Source organism: Homo sapiens, chromosome 8, assembly GCF_000001405.40.
Source record: "Homo sapiens chromosome 8, GRCh38.p14 Primary Assembly".
NCBI classification, from domain to species: Eukaryota; Metazoa; Chordata; class Mammalia; order Primates; family Hominidae; genus Homo; species Homo sapiens.
Genome location: NC_000008.11, coordinates 29,182,922 through 29,202,417, shown reverse-complemented (window position 1 = coordinate 29,202,417; position 19,496 = coordinate 29,182,922). Strand labels below are relative to the sequence as shown.

The window sequence follows — 19,496 nt, the reverse complement described above, 5'->3', positions numbered from 1 at the left end:
TGAACCCAGAAGGCAGAGATTACAGTGAGCCAAGATCTTGCCACTGCACTCTAGCCTGGGCAACAGAGCAAGACTCTGTCTCAAAACAACAATAAAATAAAGAGATATCCCACTTGCGGCAACCTTCCCCAGTATATCTTACTGAATGCAGCCCTGGAAGTGACCTAAAACAAGTTAGCTTCCCTGCCAGGTATGAGTCCCCTCAGCTTTGAGGCTGGGCAGCCTGTCTTCCTCTCATCTTACCCGCTCCAGCTACAGGGATTTCCCCTTCTTTCACTGGTAGAGTTTTCAAATCCCCCCGCCTCCTGAATGCTATTATTCTCCAGTCATACTCTACTTTATCAATGTTGCTATTAGAATTTATCCTTCAAAAGTGGATGGAAAATTCTAGATATTGAGGACACAACGAACAGGGCTTTTTGTGATATTTGTACTTCTTACAGAGAGTTGACTGGAGTAAGCAAATGTTGAGAAGCTTCTGTTGTGAGTGTAGTCACTTTCTAAATTTCAAGTCAGCTCGGCTTCATTCCATGTATGGAAAGTACAGTGGGGGAGGAGTGACAAAGAAAAAAATCATACTCATCACACAGATTGTTGTTTGGTTGCTGGTAGTGCCAGCCAAGTTCAAAAAAGCAACAATATCATGACGTAGTATGGCTGTATTAGAATAAGCTCTTTGTGATGTATACATCCGTTATACAGCGGGTTGGGGTGGGGTCTTGTTGAACCAGAGATTCCAAATATTTCAGTTGTGAAGATTTCAGCAACTCAGACCTTTAGAATTAAAAGAGATGATGGGATTTGGATTCAGTATTTGATTTTGGTAGTTGACAACAGTAAATGATCTATAACTTTCCTTTCTACTGATATTATTTTGTGTTTTACACATATGTGATACTGTGTGGTTTACTTTTGGACCCAATATCAATTTTTTTTGTGTCATGGACAGAAGTATTACAACATTTTCAGAGGTGATGAGTTTATAAAATTTCTTCTTCGTATTTTGGCATTCTAGAGATTACAGATATAATTTGATTTCTTTGTATGATGTGATTTGTTATTCAAATGAGAAGTGAGCATGAGCCCACAAGCCAGATCAGTAAAAAGGAGGAAGAGGTTAGTTTATTCATAGATAACTGTCTTTATCCCAGATATGCAGCCATATTGTTTGTTGTTTCCCAAGCTGCCTGCTTCCAAAAAAGCACATTCATCCATGGTCATCCACCTGGGCTGGGGAGGTCTCCAGTAACTAAACAGTCACTATTTGGGAGATAGTAATTGTTGCAGGCAAGAATTATAAGTGGGTGCTAAAATTTGCAGGTGAAAGTATGACGATGAGAAACAGAGTGTTTACATAGTTTAAAAGTTTATCCCCCACATGATTCTTATTTGTTACGAAGGTAAAAATAGTAATTTTACTGTGGGAAACCTCATAGATCCAGCCTTGACCAAGTGATCAGAATTAACATGATCAGTAATGGCACATGCACCTCATATGACTCTTGGTAGAATGCACCAAGGAGGGCGCAATGTGACTTCAGTGGTGGGCTTGCCAAAATGCACAATCTGGATTTAGTCAGGAGGAAGCATTAGGCAAACCCAGATTGAGGGACATTCTACAAAATAAATGGCCAGTCCTCTTCAAGTGTCAAGGTCATGACAGACAAAGTGCCCCAGGTTGGAGGAGACATGACAAGTATATGTAACACAAGGTCTTGGACCAAAAAAAGGACATTAGTGGGGGTAATTGGCAAAATTTGGAGGAGGTTGTCTATAGGTTATTTAATAAACTGTGTTGATGGTTAATTTCTTGGTTTTGGTCATTGTAGCTGTGGTGATATAAGAAATATTTGGTGGTTAACATTTGAGGAAGCTTGGAGAAGGGTGTACAGGATTTTTTTGTACTATTTTTGGAGCTTTTTGTAAGCCTGAAAGTATTTCAAAATAAAGTTAAGCAACAACAACAACAAAAATAATTCAACTCAGCTGAGAAATTACAGCTTTAGTGCTTGTACTTGAGACATTTCTCTGGATTGGTCAGCAGCTGCTTTTGCTTCCTGAATCTCCACAGTGATCTGGATAGTTGAGGTTTCTAATTAAGGGATCTTGGGATGAGTGAGACATGGCTGTATTGAATTGCAGCTACACTTTGACAAGGTGTTGTTTAATTAATTAATTTATTTATTTTTGTACAGGGTTGTAATTACATCTTTGGGTGTCCCATGCCTTTGCAGGTTATTTGAGCTTTACTGTCATAGCCATCAGAATCCCTAGCTGCAAACTTAGCTCTGTAATTAATTTACTGGTTTGTTTCTGTTTTTATTATGATGATGTGAATTCAGGTTAGTCCCATGGATTCTTCTGCTATGTGTCATATGTTATTGAATTTCATACTTGTTGTTTGTCTTAGGAAGAGTTGATGTTTTTGGTATAAAAACATTTTATTTAAACTTGAAATATCATACTAAATATATATTTTTCCCCTCAGAAAAGACACTTTGGAGTTTCTATAAATAAAATGAATAGTAAATGTACTATAAAATAGAGTAAATGTACTCTAGCATAAGCACCAAGTGCTAACCTTTTATTAGGTAATCATTAGAATGGGAGAAATTAGTACATTGGGAAATGTTAGCAGGAGCAGTGGTTAATGTGTGATTCGTAGATTGTTAAGTCGAGAGTGTTTTGATCAGTGTGGGCAAGAACGTGGACCTTGGGAGTCAGAAGACCTAGTTTTGAATCCCAGATACATACTGCTTATTACAGGTTGAGTATTCCTTATCCAAAATGCTTGGGAAGTGTTTTGGATTTGGATTTCTTTCTTTTTTTTTTTTTTTTTTTTTGGATTTTGGAATATTTGCATAAGGGCAATGAGCATTTCCTTTGAACATGACCTTTTGAGCATCATGTTGGCGCTCAAAATGTTTCAGATTTTGGACCATTTCAGAAAGATTTTGGATTTTCAGATCAGGGATGTTCACATCACAACCTGAAGTATGTTCACTTCACAACCTGAAGTATGTGCTAGACGGGTTGACTTTTCTGAGCCTTACTTTTTGCATCTGTAAAACTGGAATCCTAATAGTATCTTGCAAAGTTATCATGAGAATGGAGTCATGTAGCATGCAGTGCACCTGGTCTAAAGTGAGGCCTTTCATCCATGTTGAATTCTCTTCTTACCTCCCTGTAGGTTTATAACAAAGCCACCTGCAATTGATGAGAAACTGCTTTGCTTATAAAGACAATAAAAAGATGATAGCATGTCAGTAACCTCTCCAGATTTCAGAAGTCTTTTTTTTTTAATTTTCGAAAACATTTTTCTATTTTTTAAAAAATTTTATTTTTTTATTTTAATAGCTTTTGGGTACAAGTGGTTTTTGGTTACACGGATGAGTTATACAATGGGGACTTCTGAGATTTTAGTGTACCCGTCACCTAAGTAGTGTACATTGTACCCAATATGTAATCTTTTTATCCTTCACCCCTCCTGCTCCCCCTCTTCTGAGTCTCCAAAGTCCGTTATATCACTCTGTATGCCTCTGCATGCTCATAGCTTAATTCCCACTTATTGGTAAGAACATGCAATATTTGGTTTTTCATTCCTGAGTTACTTCATTTAGAATAGTGGCCTCCAGCTCCATCTAAGGTGCTGCAAATTGGGAACTGTGTTACAATAAACATACATATGCATGTGTCTTTTTCACATAATGACTTATTTTCCTTTGGGTGCATACCCATAGTGGGGTTGCTGGATCAAATGGTTGATCTACTTTTAAAGTTCCTTAAGAAATCTCTGCCTGGGTGCCGTGGCTGATGCCTGCAATCCCAGCACTTTGGGAGGCCGAGGCGGGCGGATCACTTGAGATCAAGAGTTCAAGACCAGCCTGGCCAACATGGTGAAACCCCATCTCTACTAAAAATACAAAAAATTAGCCGGGCGTGGTGGTGTGCCCCTGTAATCCCAGCTACTCAGGAGGTTGAGCCTGGAGAATCGCTTGAACCCAGGAGGCGGAGGTTGCAGTGAGCCAAGATCACGCCACTGTACTCCAGCCTGGGCCACAAGAGTGAAAACTCTGTCTCAAAAAAAAACAAAAAACAAAAAACAAAACATGCATACTATTTTCCATAGAGGTTGTACTAATTTATATTTCTGCCAGCAGTGTATAAGTGTTTCAGAAGTCTTTTTGTCAGGAAATTCTTCTACATCTCTTATTCCAGAGAAATTATTTTCTTTTATGTATTAGCCATGTTGGATATTACTCCAAAATCTCTTAAACAGGTATCACTCATTTGCTAGACTTTCTGTGGTGTTTTAATGTTCTTGTCAGAAATCACTTGATACAAATAAGTATTAAATTTCTTTTAGAAGAAAATCTCAGGAGACAAAGCAACAAAGAGATGGTCGAAGACAATTGGAAGCAAACATTTTCATGTACAGTTTCCTTTCAGGTTTCAGGCCCTGAAAGTTGAGTTTTGATCCTCTGAGAAGGGCCAATTATTATTGTTCCTATTTTATTCCAGTTTCAAAAGTACTTTCCTTTATTCTTAAATTGTTTGATTTCAGTATTGCCCTGTTATTATGTAAGTGAACATCATCGTTTTTAGGAAGTTTAGAAAAGCTTGTCCAACCGGACTTAGTTTGTTGTGTTGTTGTTCTGTTTTGTTTTAGGCTTTAAGCAGCCTGAAGCCATGGTCTTTAGTTTCTATCTCTAGTGATAAGCAGAAAAGAAGGATGAGGAAGGGGCTTTACTGGCCCAGCCAGAAACAGAAACCGTGAACCCATGACTGTTTTCTGTGTTTTGGACACCCGGATTGTTAAAGAGGCATGTTTGCAACTTACCCTCAAATGGTTCAGGAAAAAAAAACATATATGTGTATGTGTGTATTTATTCATATAAATCCTTGGGGGAAAGGGAAGGAGAAGGAGAAAAGCAGTCATGGCAGTGTTAACAATTAGTAAATTGGCAGGAAAGGTCTATGGGCATTCTTTGTACTTTTTACCACTTTTCTCTAAGTTTGAAACTATCTCAGGATTACATTGACTGTATATATTGAGTTTTTTTTTTTTTTTTTTTTTTTTTGAGACGGAGTCTCGCTCTGTCGCCCAGGCTGGAGTGCAGTGGCGGGATCTCGGCTCACTGCAAGCTCCGCCTCCCGGGTTCACGCCATTCTCCTGCCTCAGCCTCCCAAGTAGCTGGGACTACAGGCGCCCGCCACTACGCCCGGCTAATTTTTTGTATTTTTAGTAGAGACGGGGTTTCACCGTTTTAGCCGGGATGGTCTCGATTTCCTGACCTCGTGATCCGCCCGCCTCGGCCTCCCAAAGTGCTGGGATTACAGGCGTGAGCCACCGCGCCCGGCCATATTGAGTTATTTTCTTGTCCCCTGATGAGATGTCAGTAAGTGGCAGTTTCAGTGGGAGGAAGGTGGGAGGTTAGAAGTGCTTATGTGTGCGGAGAGGAATAAGTAGTGAGTAATTCAGTAAGTACAGGTTGAGCATCCCACATAGAAAATCCAAAATGCTCCAGAATTTGGAACTTTTTGAGTACCCACGTAACACTCAAACAAAATGCTCTTTGGAGCATTTTGGAATTTGGATTTTCGGATTTGGGATGTGCAACTGTTAAGCATAATGCAAGTATTCCCACATCCAGAAAAAATACGAAACCCAAAACACTTCAAGCGTTTTGGATGAGGGATACTCAGCTGGGTTAATTCACTGGCAAGAAATTAGTGGTTTCTTTAATTTAGCCTTTTTTCCTTAGCCAGAATAGAATTCATTGTTTTGTAGAGGAGCCTGTACAGATAAGAGAGTAATCTGTTGCTTTTTCAAAGCAGAGAAAACTACTTGGAACTGAAACCAGATGATAAAAAAGTAAAAGATTAAAAAATATATATTTATAAGACATACACAAAGATAAAAGCAAAATCTATAAGGCAGAAATATTAGGACTGTTGAAATTATTATCTGTGCTCAGTCCTCCTTCTACCAGAGAGATACAAGTTGTCTGTGATTAGCAGCCTGTCTTACTAGCTAATAGACATTCATTTATCCTTCAAATTACTATGTGGCTTCAAAGGTATTATTTTATATTCTTACTGTGAATTTACATAATGTTTATTATTTTACCCTTCAAAAAAAGTCTTCTAAACTAAATTTTTTTTTTTTTTTTAACTTTTCTTTCACGTCAATGATGACATCTGTTTTGGGAGCTCAGGGGCCAGCCGAAGGTAAGAGATTTGGTTTGTTATGTGATGCTTGTAAAGATCTTATATGCATGTTGTTGAACTCTTAGAAGTTTTCTTCTCAAAAAGGAAAATATTTTCTATCATTTTGTACAAGTAATGCAAGCTGTCAGCCTACTCACAAATCTGAAGCCATTTATTGGCATGGGAAGGGCCGGAGGTTTATGGAAAAGCTGTATTTGCACTTTGACCACTTCTGGCTGGTCTCCTAGCAGCTACAACACAGATTCCTTTTGTGCCATAGATTGGCTCAAGACTGGTAGTTCCAAACTGTGGTCAAAGCCGACTCATCCTCTCTGCTCCCAAGACAGCTAGGGATGCATTCCCAGCCAACAGAAACCTGCGCGGCCTCAAGCCGCCTCCATAGATTGGCTCTAGACTGGTAGTTCCAAACTGCGGTCAAAACCGACTCATCCTCCCCACTCCCGAGACAGCTGGGGGTGCATTCCTGGCCAACAGAAGCCTGCACAGCCACAGCCGCCTCAAGGGAACATGCTTTCACCTCTGTCTCTTAGGGAATGTGGAGCCCTGCTTGAAGTGGGCACAAAGTCTGTTTCTTAACTGACCATGAAGTTACTTGGAACTTCCAGGAAATTTAGATTTCTGTCTCCATTCTTGGGGTTTTGTTTTTCCTTTACAGTCCGTGGCTGAATTGTAATTCAGTTCGCTATTATTATTGCTAAAATGTGTATTATAGACATGGCTGTTTGGGACTCTGACTTTTTAAGATCATTTATTTATTAAATTTTTTTTCCCTAACCACAGGGACTGAATGACAAACAGAAAGTCACCCTGTCAGTATAAAACATCATTGTGAAAAAGCCGAATAGGGCACTGGTTTCTTTATATATGTAAACTTTCTCTCATCTTTTCTACTGAAAAGGTGCTGGATTATTTTCGTTTTCTTATTTTTATGTATATTTTTTGAGATGGAGTCTAGCTCTTGCTCAGGCTGGAGTGCGGTGGCGTGATCTTGGCTCACTGCAATCTTTGCCTCCTGGGTTCAAGCAATTCTCCTGCCTCAGCCTCCTAAGTAGCTGGGATTACAGGCACCCACCACCACACCAAGCTGGGTTTTGTATTTTTGGTAGAGACGGGGTTTCACCATGTTGGCCAGGCTGGTCTTTAACTCCTGTCCTCAAATGATGCACCCACCTCGGCCTCCCAAAGTGCTGGGATTACAGGCGTGAGCGACCGTGCCCAGCTTTTTTTTTATTTTTATTGGTGCAGAGGCTGGAGGTTGCAGTGAAGATATGAAGGAACCATTGCCTGGTGATTTAAAAATTGTTCATATTTTATTTAATTCAGTTGCATGTTTAGAAAAAATGTTGTGTTGACTAAAATACATGGGAGGTTAAACACCTCAGCTCTGGGGAGAGGTGTACTTGTTGAACAGGGAGACCTTGATTTTTCCTTTATGCTTCTATGTTATTCGAATTTGTTACAGTGTTTACTTGGAAAGAAAAGACTTGTCCAGTTTATGAAATCTTTGCCTGGAAGTTACCTATAATAATTTACGAAATTGCTAAGCCTTAAAGAGGACCATTTAGAGCTGTAGTAAATAAAAAGTAAGTGTTTATTAGTCCCCAACTTTGTGCCAGGCTGTGGCACTTTCATATTGGGGAATAGAGCTAGGCTAGCCTAGTGGTGCAGAGGAGGGACCTTAGAGCCAGACTGTGGGCTGGAATCCTAGCACCCCAACCTGCTAGATGTAAGGCACTTACCTTTTTTCTTCCTCAGGTTCCTTTGAACAGTGTCGAGCACACAGGCTTAGCTCCATTATGGTTACTTTGGGAATAGCCTCTCGACTCAAATTGGGAATAAGAAATGTCACTGTTAAAGAAATCCCTAAAAGAAAGACAAGTAAAAAAAAAAAAAAAACCCAATAATAATGGAGAGGAGAGTGCCATTTAGAACCTATCTCTGATAAATATACAGTTGGCCTTCTGTATCTGTGGGTTTCACATCTGTGGTTCAACCAACCACAGATTGAAAATAGTTTTTAAAAAACTATGAAAAATAATACAACAATAAAAGTAAAAATTTAGGGCCGGGCGCGGTGGCTCATGCCTGTAATCCCAGCACTTTGGGAGGCGGAGGCCAGCGGATCATGAGGCCAGGAGATTGAGACCATCCTGGCTAACACAGTGAAACCCTGTCTCTACTAAAAATACAAAAAAAAAAAAAAAAGCCAGGCGTGGTAGCGGGCGCCTGTAGTCCCAGCTACTCAGGAGGCTGAGGCAGGAGAATGGCGTGAACCTGGGAGGTGGAGCTTGCGGTGAGCTGAGATCACGCCACTGCACTCCAGCCTGGGCGACAGAGCGAGACTCCGTCTCAAAAAAAAGTAAAAATGTAAAAAGCAGTACAGTATGACAACTATTTACATAGCATCTACTTTGTCTTAGGTGTTTTAAGTAATCAAGAGATGATTTGAAGTATATGGGAGGATATGTGTGGGTTTTATGCAAATACTACACCATTTTATATAAGGACTTGCACATCTGTGGATTTTGGTATTCATGGGAGGTCCTGGAAGCAGTCCCACTCAGGATACTGAGGGATGACTGTATACACATGTGATAGGGCTTTTGAAGTGAGAACTAAGCTTACAAGAATCAGGATGGTTTTTACTTAGCCTTATTAAGAACAGAATTAATTAAATAAAATTATGGAGATAAGCGTGGAAAGCTAGAACAGGAGAAACTTCGTTTGAGCTCCACATTTTATTTACTCCTACTCTGCTGTAATGATTCTCACTATGGGTGACACCTGGAGTTTGCAAGGCAGCTCCCCCCAGTTTGATGCCCAGTCCTTTGGGGCCATCTTCCATCCTCCTCCTTTTGCTCCTCTGTGTTTGAAAATGGCTTAGTGAGCCACCACTGCTGATAGATATACGTTTTAGCTTTGGAAAAACATGGAGGGTGAGCAGTGTGTAACACAACACTGCAGCTGGATGATGTCTTCTGGGCCCAAGGGCTCTCAGGGGCTGTCAGCCGCTGGGGGTCTGCTTTCACTTCCTGGCCTCGCTTCCTTCTCACAGCCCCATCCAGGGAACAGGTGTCTCCCCTGCCTGCTGTTTCACACAGAGATGCAGGTGTGCCGATCCTCACCTGTCCAGAGGTGCTGAGCCAGTCGTCCTCTCGGTTGCTGCCAGGGTTATCTGCCTCCCCCTTTAGTTGCCCTTCTGGTACCTCCCAGAACTGCTCACTGGCTTTGCAGCCTGTGCTCTCCCTGCAGGCCCCCACCCTTACCCCCATCAGTTTCATTGGAACTATTTTTTCAGGAGTTTCTCAATTCTGATCCAGGCACAAGCAAGCACTCTTGGTTTCAAAACCTTGTTCTTTTTTCCCCCTTCTCTTCCTTTTTGGCAATTTCCCCACTTCCCCCATCGCCTGTCGTTTTGAGTTAATTTTAGCTGGGTGATGGATATCAGTATGCATTATTAATTTACCATCTTAACCTAATTTTCTTTCTTAAAAAAATTAACCTTTTAGACTTCTGGTCCAGATAATCTTGTGAGTTTACACAGAAACATTCTCCTGCCAACATCAAAATTATAGCAGAGATAGATAAAATATTTTAGAATGTGCGAATCATGTAATCAAACTCAAAAACAAATTTAGACTGGGCATGGTGGCTCACAGCTGTAATCTCAGTACTTGGGAGGCTGAGGCTAGAGGATTGCTTGAGGCCAGGAGTCTGAGACCAGCCTGGGCAACATAGTGAGACCCCATCTCTACACAAAACTAGAAAAACACAACAACAACATATATAACTTCAAGGACCAGCAGTAAGCGAGGGCTGAAGTGACATATTTCCAGGGCTTTGGAATCAGACCAGGTGCCTGGAGGTGATTGGAAGTTCAACTCTTGCCGACTAATGGGGGCACTGGTGTATGGTTGGGGACTGGAGCCAGGCTCACCATGTGAAAACTGATTTGGGCGAGCCTTCTCTGTGAGTGAAAGCTTACAGTCAGTTTTTGGCCACCAACATTGAGCTAATGTCTGTGTTAATAGGAAGGGATGGAGACATTGGGCCTTGAGAAGACCCAAAATCTGGGCTTCAGTAATGGAAATGACAGCATAAACTAGTCATGGAAAGGTGGCCATCAGGAGAGGAAAAAATAAGCAATCATGTAAACCATAAAATAAACACTCCCTGCTAAGATGTACCTGCAAACTAACATGCAAACCATCATCAGGAAGCATAGCAACAGACTCCCAAAGTGGGAGAATGTGACAAAATGTGAACCGAGATACATTTTAAAACAATTGCACTTAAAATCTTTACGGAGATAAAAATCACAAAACACAAGTAAGTAGATTTCAAACTGACAGAAATCGAAAAAGTGAAAGATGCAGTCAGTGAAAAATTTGCCTTTGCTTAGTTGGTTTAAAAAGAAATAATTAGTGAAAAAGAAGCTTTTCAAACAGTGCAAAAGAACTATGTGATATTCTAGAAAGTGGTGATAAGGTGAAAGATCAAAACAGATCATCTGTAAGATCCCACCAAGTAGCATTTTAATACAGATTGTTCCTGCTTTTTATGCATATAGTTTTTTGGTACAAATATGGAATCATACTCTAGACTTTTATAACTTTTTCATTAACATAAACTTTTTTTAAATTAGTAAGTCTTCTATACCCTCAAATCTATACTTGCACATGGGCATGTCATAATTTATGTAAACATTCTGCTATTTTAAGCTATTTTGGACATGCTATAGTGAGCATCTTTAAATGTTATTTAAAAAATATCTTTTTCTTTGACTACAAAAATAAAAATATTGAAAAAATATAAAAACATGAAACAGATCACTAATTTCGCTGCAAAAAAATAAACTATAGATGTAATTCTGTGTGTGTGACTGTAGGTGCATGTGTGTGTGCAATAGCCATTTTATTACACATTTTGTGAATAGTTTTCCATGTAAAATATAGAGTCATATCACCTATAGCATGTTTAGTTCTCATTGTAAGCCTCTACATACATAATTAATTCCCATTGTATGACAGTAAGTTGTTTTATTTCACTATTATGAACAGTTCTATCAGTTATGGTTTATAAGTAATGTTGAGGTTTTCTTAACACACACTTATGTTCATTTTCAACAGGTGTTTGCTTATGATCATTGTTTCTGGTCTATGGATGAATCTGTCAAAGAAAAGTATGCAGGTAATAGAATCCAGCATCCTGTCAACTACTGATGGTGTAGAAGAGGGGTTCAGTATTTTTTCCCTTACACGATTGCTTGGCAAACCCCCCAAACTGTGTGTTTCCTCTGCTGTCACACCACAATAACAGTCATCAACACAGAAGATGACTTAATGTGACCAAATGTTGGGGGAGTTTTCCCTGCACCCCAAGCGGCAGACACTGGCTGGGTGTCCTCTAACTCAGTTCCGATGCTCTCTACCTGGGGACAGCGTCAGATCCACAGACTGAGGGCTCAGTCCCACAAGACCGCTCCCTCCTTCCCACCAGCGCAGGTCCAGGCCTCTAGAACTTCTGACCTACTGGCTTCCAATTAGGGTTCCCACAACCTCCTCTTTGGGTTTGATTAATTTCCTAGAGCGGCTCACAGAACTCAGGGAAACACTTGTGTTTAGGGGTTTATTACGAGGGATTTTCTTTAAAGGAGACAGGTAAACAGCCAGATGAAGAGATACAGAGGGTGAGATCTGGAAGGGTCCCAAGCGCAGGAGCTTCTGTCCTCATGGAGGTGGCGCGGCGCCCTCCCGGCGTGTGGATGAGTTCTTACCTTCCTATTGGGCCCTGTGTGTTTAGCAATCCAGAAGCTCTCTGAACCCAGTCCTTTTAGGTTTTTATGGAGGCTTCCTTATATAGGCATGATTGTCAACCGATTAGAAATGTGATTTGACAAAAAGTGCATGACTGAACACAGCACGTCCTGTCTGTTCAGACTTTTCTTGGCCATTCTGTGTAGCATTCCTTCCTTTAGGATATGAGGCAAGACCTTGTGGAATGAGAAGCTCTTGACCCACAATCAGATGAGAGTCTTGCCTCCGGCAGGTAAAAGGAGGGCAGGAGATCAGATAGTTTCCTGAGGCTAAAATGCCCCAACATGTAAAAGACTGCAACAAGGGTTAATGAGCCAGGAACTGCGGATGGTAACCTACATCTCTATAATTACCATAGGATATATATGAGTACCATAGGATTCTTTTGCATAACTGTAGAAAGTACAGACAACACCCTCCCGTGTTTGCTATTAGAGTTTTTAATGTTGATTGGAAAATGGGAGATTCACTGTGTGCCATTCTTGGTATACGTTGATGAAATTACATCACTAGTACACACAGTGGCTATTCCACATTCACACGCCCCAGCTCTTACATGAGGCCGGGAGCACAAGGTCGCCCCTTAGATTGCCCTGGAGGCCTGAGACTGGGCTGGAGAGACAGGATGGCATAGTGAAAGAAGGGGAGCACCGGCCAAGGAGAAAAGGAACCCTAGGCTGCAGGCCCAGCCCTGCTTCTTACCGCCCCTGCGCCTTTCAGTAAATCACCTCACCTGTCAGAGCTTCAGTTTTCTCTTTTTGATGGAAAGGAATATGCCATATTCTCTCTAAATTTTCTTTTGGCTCTGGAAGTCTGTTACTCTATTATTCTTCTAAATGATGACTGTCTCAAGCCCCATCTCACCACAAGTTTAGGACTGCAGTGACAGCCTTTGATTGCCTTTATTCCTTACTGCTTTTGTCGCCTGTTTTTAAACAATCTCTTTTAAATATTAAGCATCATATTGTTTTGGCTTCTGTTATGAGAAAGATGAATATTATGGCTGTTTTGAAGTTAAGATTCATTTGGTCTAGGTGGCCCAATATCAGAAGTATAAGTTAACTGGTATTAAAAAAAAAAAAAAAGGAAATGAGACATAATGGAATACCCTTGCCATAACATAAAAGCATCCAGTTCTTCCATGTGGTATTGAGACTAAGTGAGGTAGGGTGACTTGTCAGATTCACATTCAATTACTGACTAGTGACATATCTCATTTGGCCTGTCGGGGAGAATTTGACTCTGTTCTTTATGTCCATGATTGAAAGCTGAGGGAAATTTCCAGGCTCTGACTCCCTGTCCTAACTGGTATGTGTTGTAGATCCTGTAATTAGAAATTGTCACTGAGGGAAAGGAGAGGGGGTTGGTATATATGATTATTCTAAACTCTGGTACCCACCGAATAAAAGCATTGCCTGAGTGGTAAATAGTTAAGTCCAGGTACACCTGGGTCCCAAGTATAAATTTCAGATATTTATAATCATTGATTATAAAGTGAGCAGCTCATTGGCTCTGCATTGCAGGGGATTCTTAGTCGTGTTTATTTATTCAAGCATGTATTACAGGGAGCTGATTTTCCCTCATGTGCTAACTAGAAATAACCTGGAAGGCATAAGCCTTTGGGAGCATTCGTCAAATTTAAAAATCTTGTTTGGAGATAAATAAGCAGATTATACATTTTTGAGATTTTTGTTTTTGTTTTGTGAATTGTTCATATGTAGTTTTGGCTTAAAATATCTTTTCTCTTATTCTCTCTCTCTCAGGTCAAGATATTGTTTTCAAGTGCCTTGGAGAGAATATCCTGCAGAATGCTTTTGATGGCTACAATGCATGTATCTTTGCCTATGGACAGACTGGTAATGTTAAATAACATGAAATCACATAAACAACCATCAATGAAAGAAAATAGAACCATGTTTATTTTACTGAGTAACATTGCTGATTTATTCCTTGTTGTTTTTGCTTTCAGAAAGTACTGTAGATGTTGAAAGTAGTCAGTAACATTATTTTAAAATGAGTGTAATAAAATTAGGATTGGGATCTTTTATCTTTACTGATTTTTCTCACAAGGCACTGGCAGCATTGTTTTTCGAAAAAATACAGAGCTATGACTGTTGAACACATTACTAGCCATGCCTATAGATCATGCTTTTTTAAGGCTTTCAGAACCATAACAGATAAAATACCAAAAAGAACATACTTGTTAATATCTCACCAGTAATAACTAAGAAGCTTTTTGGCTTTTGAGTCTCTGTGGTCAAGAAAAGAAAATTTGAAGTGAACTAGTTACTTTTGTAAGAGTAAAGTATACAGCTTGTCCAACTAGAAATGTTCTCACAGAAGAATGTGTTGGATATTTTCAAGAAGCCTCATGTGTCGTGTTGAAAGGGCAGAAAGCTGGGGCCAGGCGGCGACAGCTCCAGTCCTGCTCCTGCAGCTGGCCAGCAGAGAGACCTGGGCAGTTACTTAACCTCTCTGCCCTTCAGCGTCCTTATCTGGAAAGGCTGATGATCATAGACCTTCTTGTAGGGTTGTCATAACGAGTTCCCATGTGCAAACTTTTTACAGAAGTCCTGGTACTTAGGAAATGTGGCACATTAGCTTTAGGTATTATGATAACAATAAAATGTTGCATGACAAAAGCAGCAACTTGTAGGTTAAAAGCATATTTGCAAAAACACTGCTACTAAAAACAGAAGGAATTATACTTAAGTGTCAGTAGTTACTGGTTTTCGGGCAGTAGGACTATGGTAATTTAAGTTTTTTCTTTCTATTTTCCTGTGTTTTCTAAATTTTATTTAATATATATTTCTTTTACAACGGAGAAAATCTTTTATTTTGAGACGGAGTCTTGCTCTGTTGTCCAGGCTGGAGTGCAGTGGCACAATCTCTGCTCATTGCAGCCTCTGCCTCCCAGGTTCAAGCGATTCTTCTGCCTCAGCCTCCGGAGTAGCTGGCACTACAGGTGCCTGCCACCGTGCCTGGTTAATTTTTTTGGTATTTTTAGGAGAGAAGGGGTTTCACCATGTTGGCCAGGCTGGTCTCAAACTCCTGACCTCAGGTGATCCACCCACCTTGGCCTCCCAAAGTGCTGAGATTACAGGCGTGAGCCACCGCATTCAGCCGAGAAAATAATTTTATATAAGAAAAAAGATTATTCTTTAGTTTCCACACTATAGTGAAAGGGTAGTGAGTTAATTTGCTCTGGGGTCCACAGGGAGAACCTATATTTTTTGTGCTGTGATCACTGGTTGGGAGCAGGCACTATAGTATTAATTATATGGCTCTTTCAGCTTATTTCGGAAAACTTTTAGACCTCACTATTTCTCACTTGTTTTAGGTATTTTCTTAAAGTATGAGGATGATTAAATAAGTTTATTTTTCTTTTTTTTTTTTTTTTTGGAGATGGAGTGTTGCTCTGTAGCCCAGGCTAGAGTGCAGTGGCGCAATCTCGGCTCACTGCAACCTCCGCCTCCCGGGTTCAAGCAATTCTCCTGCCTCAGCCTCCCGAGTAGCTGGGACTACAAGCACGTGCCGTCACGCATGGCTAATTTTTCTTTTTTTTTTGTATTTTAGTAGAGACGGGGTTTCACCTTGTTGCCCAGGCTGATCTCGAACTCCTGAGCTCAGGCAATCTGCCCACCTCAGCCTCCCAAAGTGCTGGGAATTACAGGCGTGAGCCACCGCACCCAGCCTATTTTTCTTTCTAAAGGACATTTGCTTTTCACTTTCACATGTGCAGTAAAAAAGCTTCTGTACTTATTATTCTCATTATATTTGGGTGTATTTCTCACTGCATTTTGGCGTTTTGCCAAGTGTTTATTATGAGCAACGGAAAGAGGGTTATGTATTTAACGTCTCAAAGAGACAATAGTAACTCTGATTTCCATTTTTTTAGGCTCTGGAAAATCTTATACCATGATGGGCACAGCTGACCAACCTGGATTAATCCCAAGACTTTGCAGTGGACTCTTTGAACGAACTCAGAAAGAGGAAAATGAAGAACAGAGTTTTAAAGTAGAAGTGTCCTACATGGAAATTTATAATGAAAAAGTTCGAGACCTTCTTGATCCCAAAGGGTAAAGGACTTTGAGACTTTAGTGTTTCAGCATTGTGAACTGAAACAGACTTAAATTGGCTTAAGTGCAAATCTTTTTAATTTTTTCAGAGGGTCTCGCTCTGTCACATAGGCTTCAGTGCAGTGGCACAATCATAGCTTACTTCAGCCTTGAACTCCTGGGCTCAAGAGTTTGTTTGTTTGTTTGTTTGTTTTTAAACCCAAGAAATTTCAGGTGGAATTCAGCTCTTTGTGGGCTGTGAGGTGAGGGAGAGGCATAATCAGAGAGATGAAACCTAGTCTTTAGGACAGTGAGTTTTTAAAGATTCTCAGGAACAAAAACAAGTGCCCATGATTTCATGGCACAGACTTGTAAAGAGAATTGGATTGGAAGTCTTAGGAGGCCTTCACAAACGCTGGTTTGACTCTACAGCTGTAACTGAGTGAGGAAAGTGCACGGTATCTAGAAATCTGTTCATTCCACAGAGTTTTTCGAGTTCAGATTTTAAGGAAGCGCAACAGTGGAGAAAGATGGAGATAATGACCACAGCCTGTGGCTTGTTGATGTAAAAACAGCATTAGGAAGGTCAAAGAGCCAAATAAGCTGAGGCCTACAGAAAGTTTGCAGGACAACAGGAGGACATTTAGTTTTGCTGGATGAGGAAGATGATCAAGGAAAAGAGGATCTTAGAGGCAGTGAGTCATAGTGACTCTCAGTCAAGAGCAAACAGAACCCTCAGCTCCTCTCTGTTGTCAGTTTTCCTTGACCAAGATGATAATCTTTAGGATTCTAACAGGGAGATTGAATTGATGCTCAGTGCTTCTGTACAAACTTTACTTAACAAACATTTATTGAGTGATCATTATATGCCAGGCACTATGCAAGAACTCACAGTGTGGACAGAATGAGAGTTTTGTAAACAAATAATTAAAATACAACGCTATCTGCTTTTAGCTTGTGAAGGAGGCTCCTACAAATTAGAGAGCAAAGGGACAATGACTGATCTTGCCCCTAGGAGAAGGGAAGATTCCAGAGTGTACTTGCTTGATAACATTTGTGCGGAGTGGGAAGTTGGTCCACTGGGAAGTTGGGTGAGAACTACTCAGGTGTAGGGAACAACCTCTCCCACACCTTGAAGGTGTAAATTAATCACCTTTGGAGAATGATCCAGCAGTTCAGTGTGGTCGGAGAGTAGGATGCACAGAAGTCAACATGGAACAAAAGGAGGCCAAGATGGGAGGATCGCTTGAGCCCAGGAGTTTGAGGCTTCAGTGAGCCAAGATTGTACCACTGCACCCCAGCCTGGGTGACAGGATGAGAGATTCATCCTGTCTCAAAAGAAATTAAAAATAAAAAATGTTCCAAAACAAAGAGGCTAGAGAGTACCTTACGGTCCAGGTACCCACATCCTACTTAATATTATATCCCTGTATATTTTTTTCTTTGTTCTGCCTTGAACACTTTTTCTTGGACTTTGACCTCGCAAAGATCATCACTTTTCTGAGATCCAGCCCAGACCTACTCTTTCCAGAAATTCTTAGCTGACTGACTTCATACCTGTTCATTCTTCTGCTTAATCCAGAGTGCTTGTATGGCATCTTTTTAACTTATCTGCACATGTACAGTCTTTAGTAATTTCTCCTATGTTTGTCTTGGGTATAGGTTAGTAATTAACAGCTTACTTACGGTAATTACTTACAGTAATTAACAGTGAATTCTGAAGAGCTTCGGATTTGCATAGCTCAGGATCTAGGTCCTCTACTTGTTACCTATTGAACAAGTTTCTTAAGCTTTCCAGGCCTAACTTGTCAGCCTAGAGGGAACTTGAAGAGGGAAATGATAGGATACAATTATCTCAGAGGGCTGTTGTGAAGATAGACTGGGATGATACACCTGAGGTCTTAGAACATTTGCTGGCATACAGTAAGTGCTCAATAAGTGGTAGCTGCTGCTATCTCCCCAGTGAAAATTTCTTGGAAATTTTTTTTTTTTAGTTTCTGAAGATTCAAAGTAAATGGATTAAAATCTCTAAAGGTGATCTCATTTCAGTCAAAGACCATTTGAGAAAACTTCATTTTTTATTCACGTACTAATTATATTAATTCAGCATCTAGTATATAGTAATGTAATTATGTTGTTTTACTCAGGAGATAATAGAGGATACATTAAGAAAAAGGAAATATGAAAGGAAAAAAGTCAATAATAGACTATATCCTGGGCGAGAAGTAAATCAAATATTCTATATCTACTTTATCCAGTTACATGGTAATAAGTGACATTTTTAATGGTTGATCCTAGGGTACTATAGATTTTAGATTTAAGAGTCATTTCCTTATCCCCTGATTTTACTGTTTATATGAAGGGTTATTCTAGAACTATCCTCTTCTTGCTGTCTTTATTATGGGTGTTAGTGATTGAATGTGGTTCAGCTTCTGTGCTAGTCATTCATTATATGTGTTCTACATTTCTTCCCTTCCTCTCCTGCCTTCTTAGTTACTAGCACTCGCTCTCCAAATGACGGAAGCTAACACATTTGGAGTCCTCACTGTCATCTTAATCTCTCTAATCTTCACTTTGTTAGTGAAGTCTGTTCATTCACTTAGTGATTCTTATGTGCCAGGACTTGTGCTAGGAACTGCAGACTCCCAAAATAATTAGACATTATTCTTGCTGTTCTAGAGCCCAAAGTTTATTATAATACAAATGGATAAAAGTAAATTAATTCATGCCTAAGGTGAGGATAAGGAGAAGCTGACTAAGAGGTGGTCAAGAGCAGATTATAAAGGAGCATGCGTAGCAAGCTGAGGAGTGTGCACCTCTCTTCATAGGCGTCAAAGAACCACCCAAAAACTTGACGCATTGGTTGGGCACGGTGGCTCATACCTCTAATCCCAGCACTTTGGGAGGCTGAGGCGGGCAGATCACTTGGGGTCAGGAGTTCGAGACCAGCCTGGCCAACATGGCAAAACCCTGTGTCTACTAAAAATACAAAAATGAGCTGGGTGTGGTGATGCACACCTGTAATCCCAGCTATTCGGGAGGATGAGGCAGGAGAACTGCTTGAACCTGGGAAGCGGAGGTTACAGTGAGCTGAGATCCTGGGTGATAGAGCAAGACTCCATTGGAAAAAAAAAAAAAAAAAAACAAACTTTAAGGATTATAATTTATTACTTATTTTAAAAAAGATTTTGTGTAGTTCAAAAGTGGACACACATTCGTGATTTAAAATAAGGATAAACAAAAATATAAAATGAAAATCAGTAACCTTATCATTGACATTCTTTTTTATAATTTGATTTTTAATTGACAAATGAGAATTGTATATGTTTATGGAGTACAGTGTGTTTTGATCATGTATATACTATGGAATGATTATATCAAGCTAATTAAC

The 19,496-nt window shown here is 40.1% G+C and overlaps 1 protein-coding gene across 8 annotated transcripts in view, besides 1 other annotated feature; it reads left to right on the top strand.

The window, feature by feature from the left end:
* Nucleotides 1-19,496, top strand: part of KIF13B (kinesin family member 13B) — a 196,111-nt gene that overhangs the window by 60,971 nt on the left and 115,644 nt on the right. For 7 of the 8 annotated variants that reach the window (XM_011544459.4, XM_005273458.2, NM_015254.4 and 4 more), the window contains exons 3-6: nt 6,219-6,231; nt 11,361-11,421; nt 13,811-13,903; nt 15,946-16,126. In XM_011544459.4, coding sequence (XP_011542761.1) covers nt 11,391-11,421; nt 13,811-13,903; nt 15,946-16,126 — 305 coding nt within the window. In that variant the 5' untranslated portion in view covers nt 6,219-6,231; nt 11,361-11,390. The remainder of the gene's footprint in view (nt 1-6,218; nt 6,232-11,360; nt 11,422-13,810; nt 13,904-15,945; nt 16,127-19,496) is intronic. The other variant, XM_047421619.1, reaches the window with a different exon arrangement.
* Nucleotides 6,339-6,539: a silencer, noted in NCBI's record as "peak6973 fragment used in MPRA reporter construct". NCBI's record gives its function as "represses an SCP1 promoter by STARR-seq MPRAs in K562 erythroleukemia cells {active_cell/tissue: K562}" and the evidence as "EXISTENCE:reporter gene assay evidence [ECO:0000049][PMID:32103011]".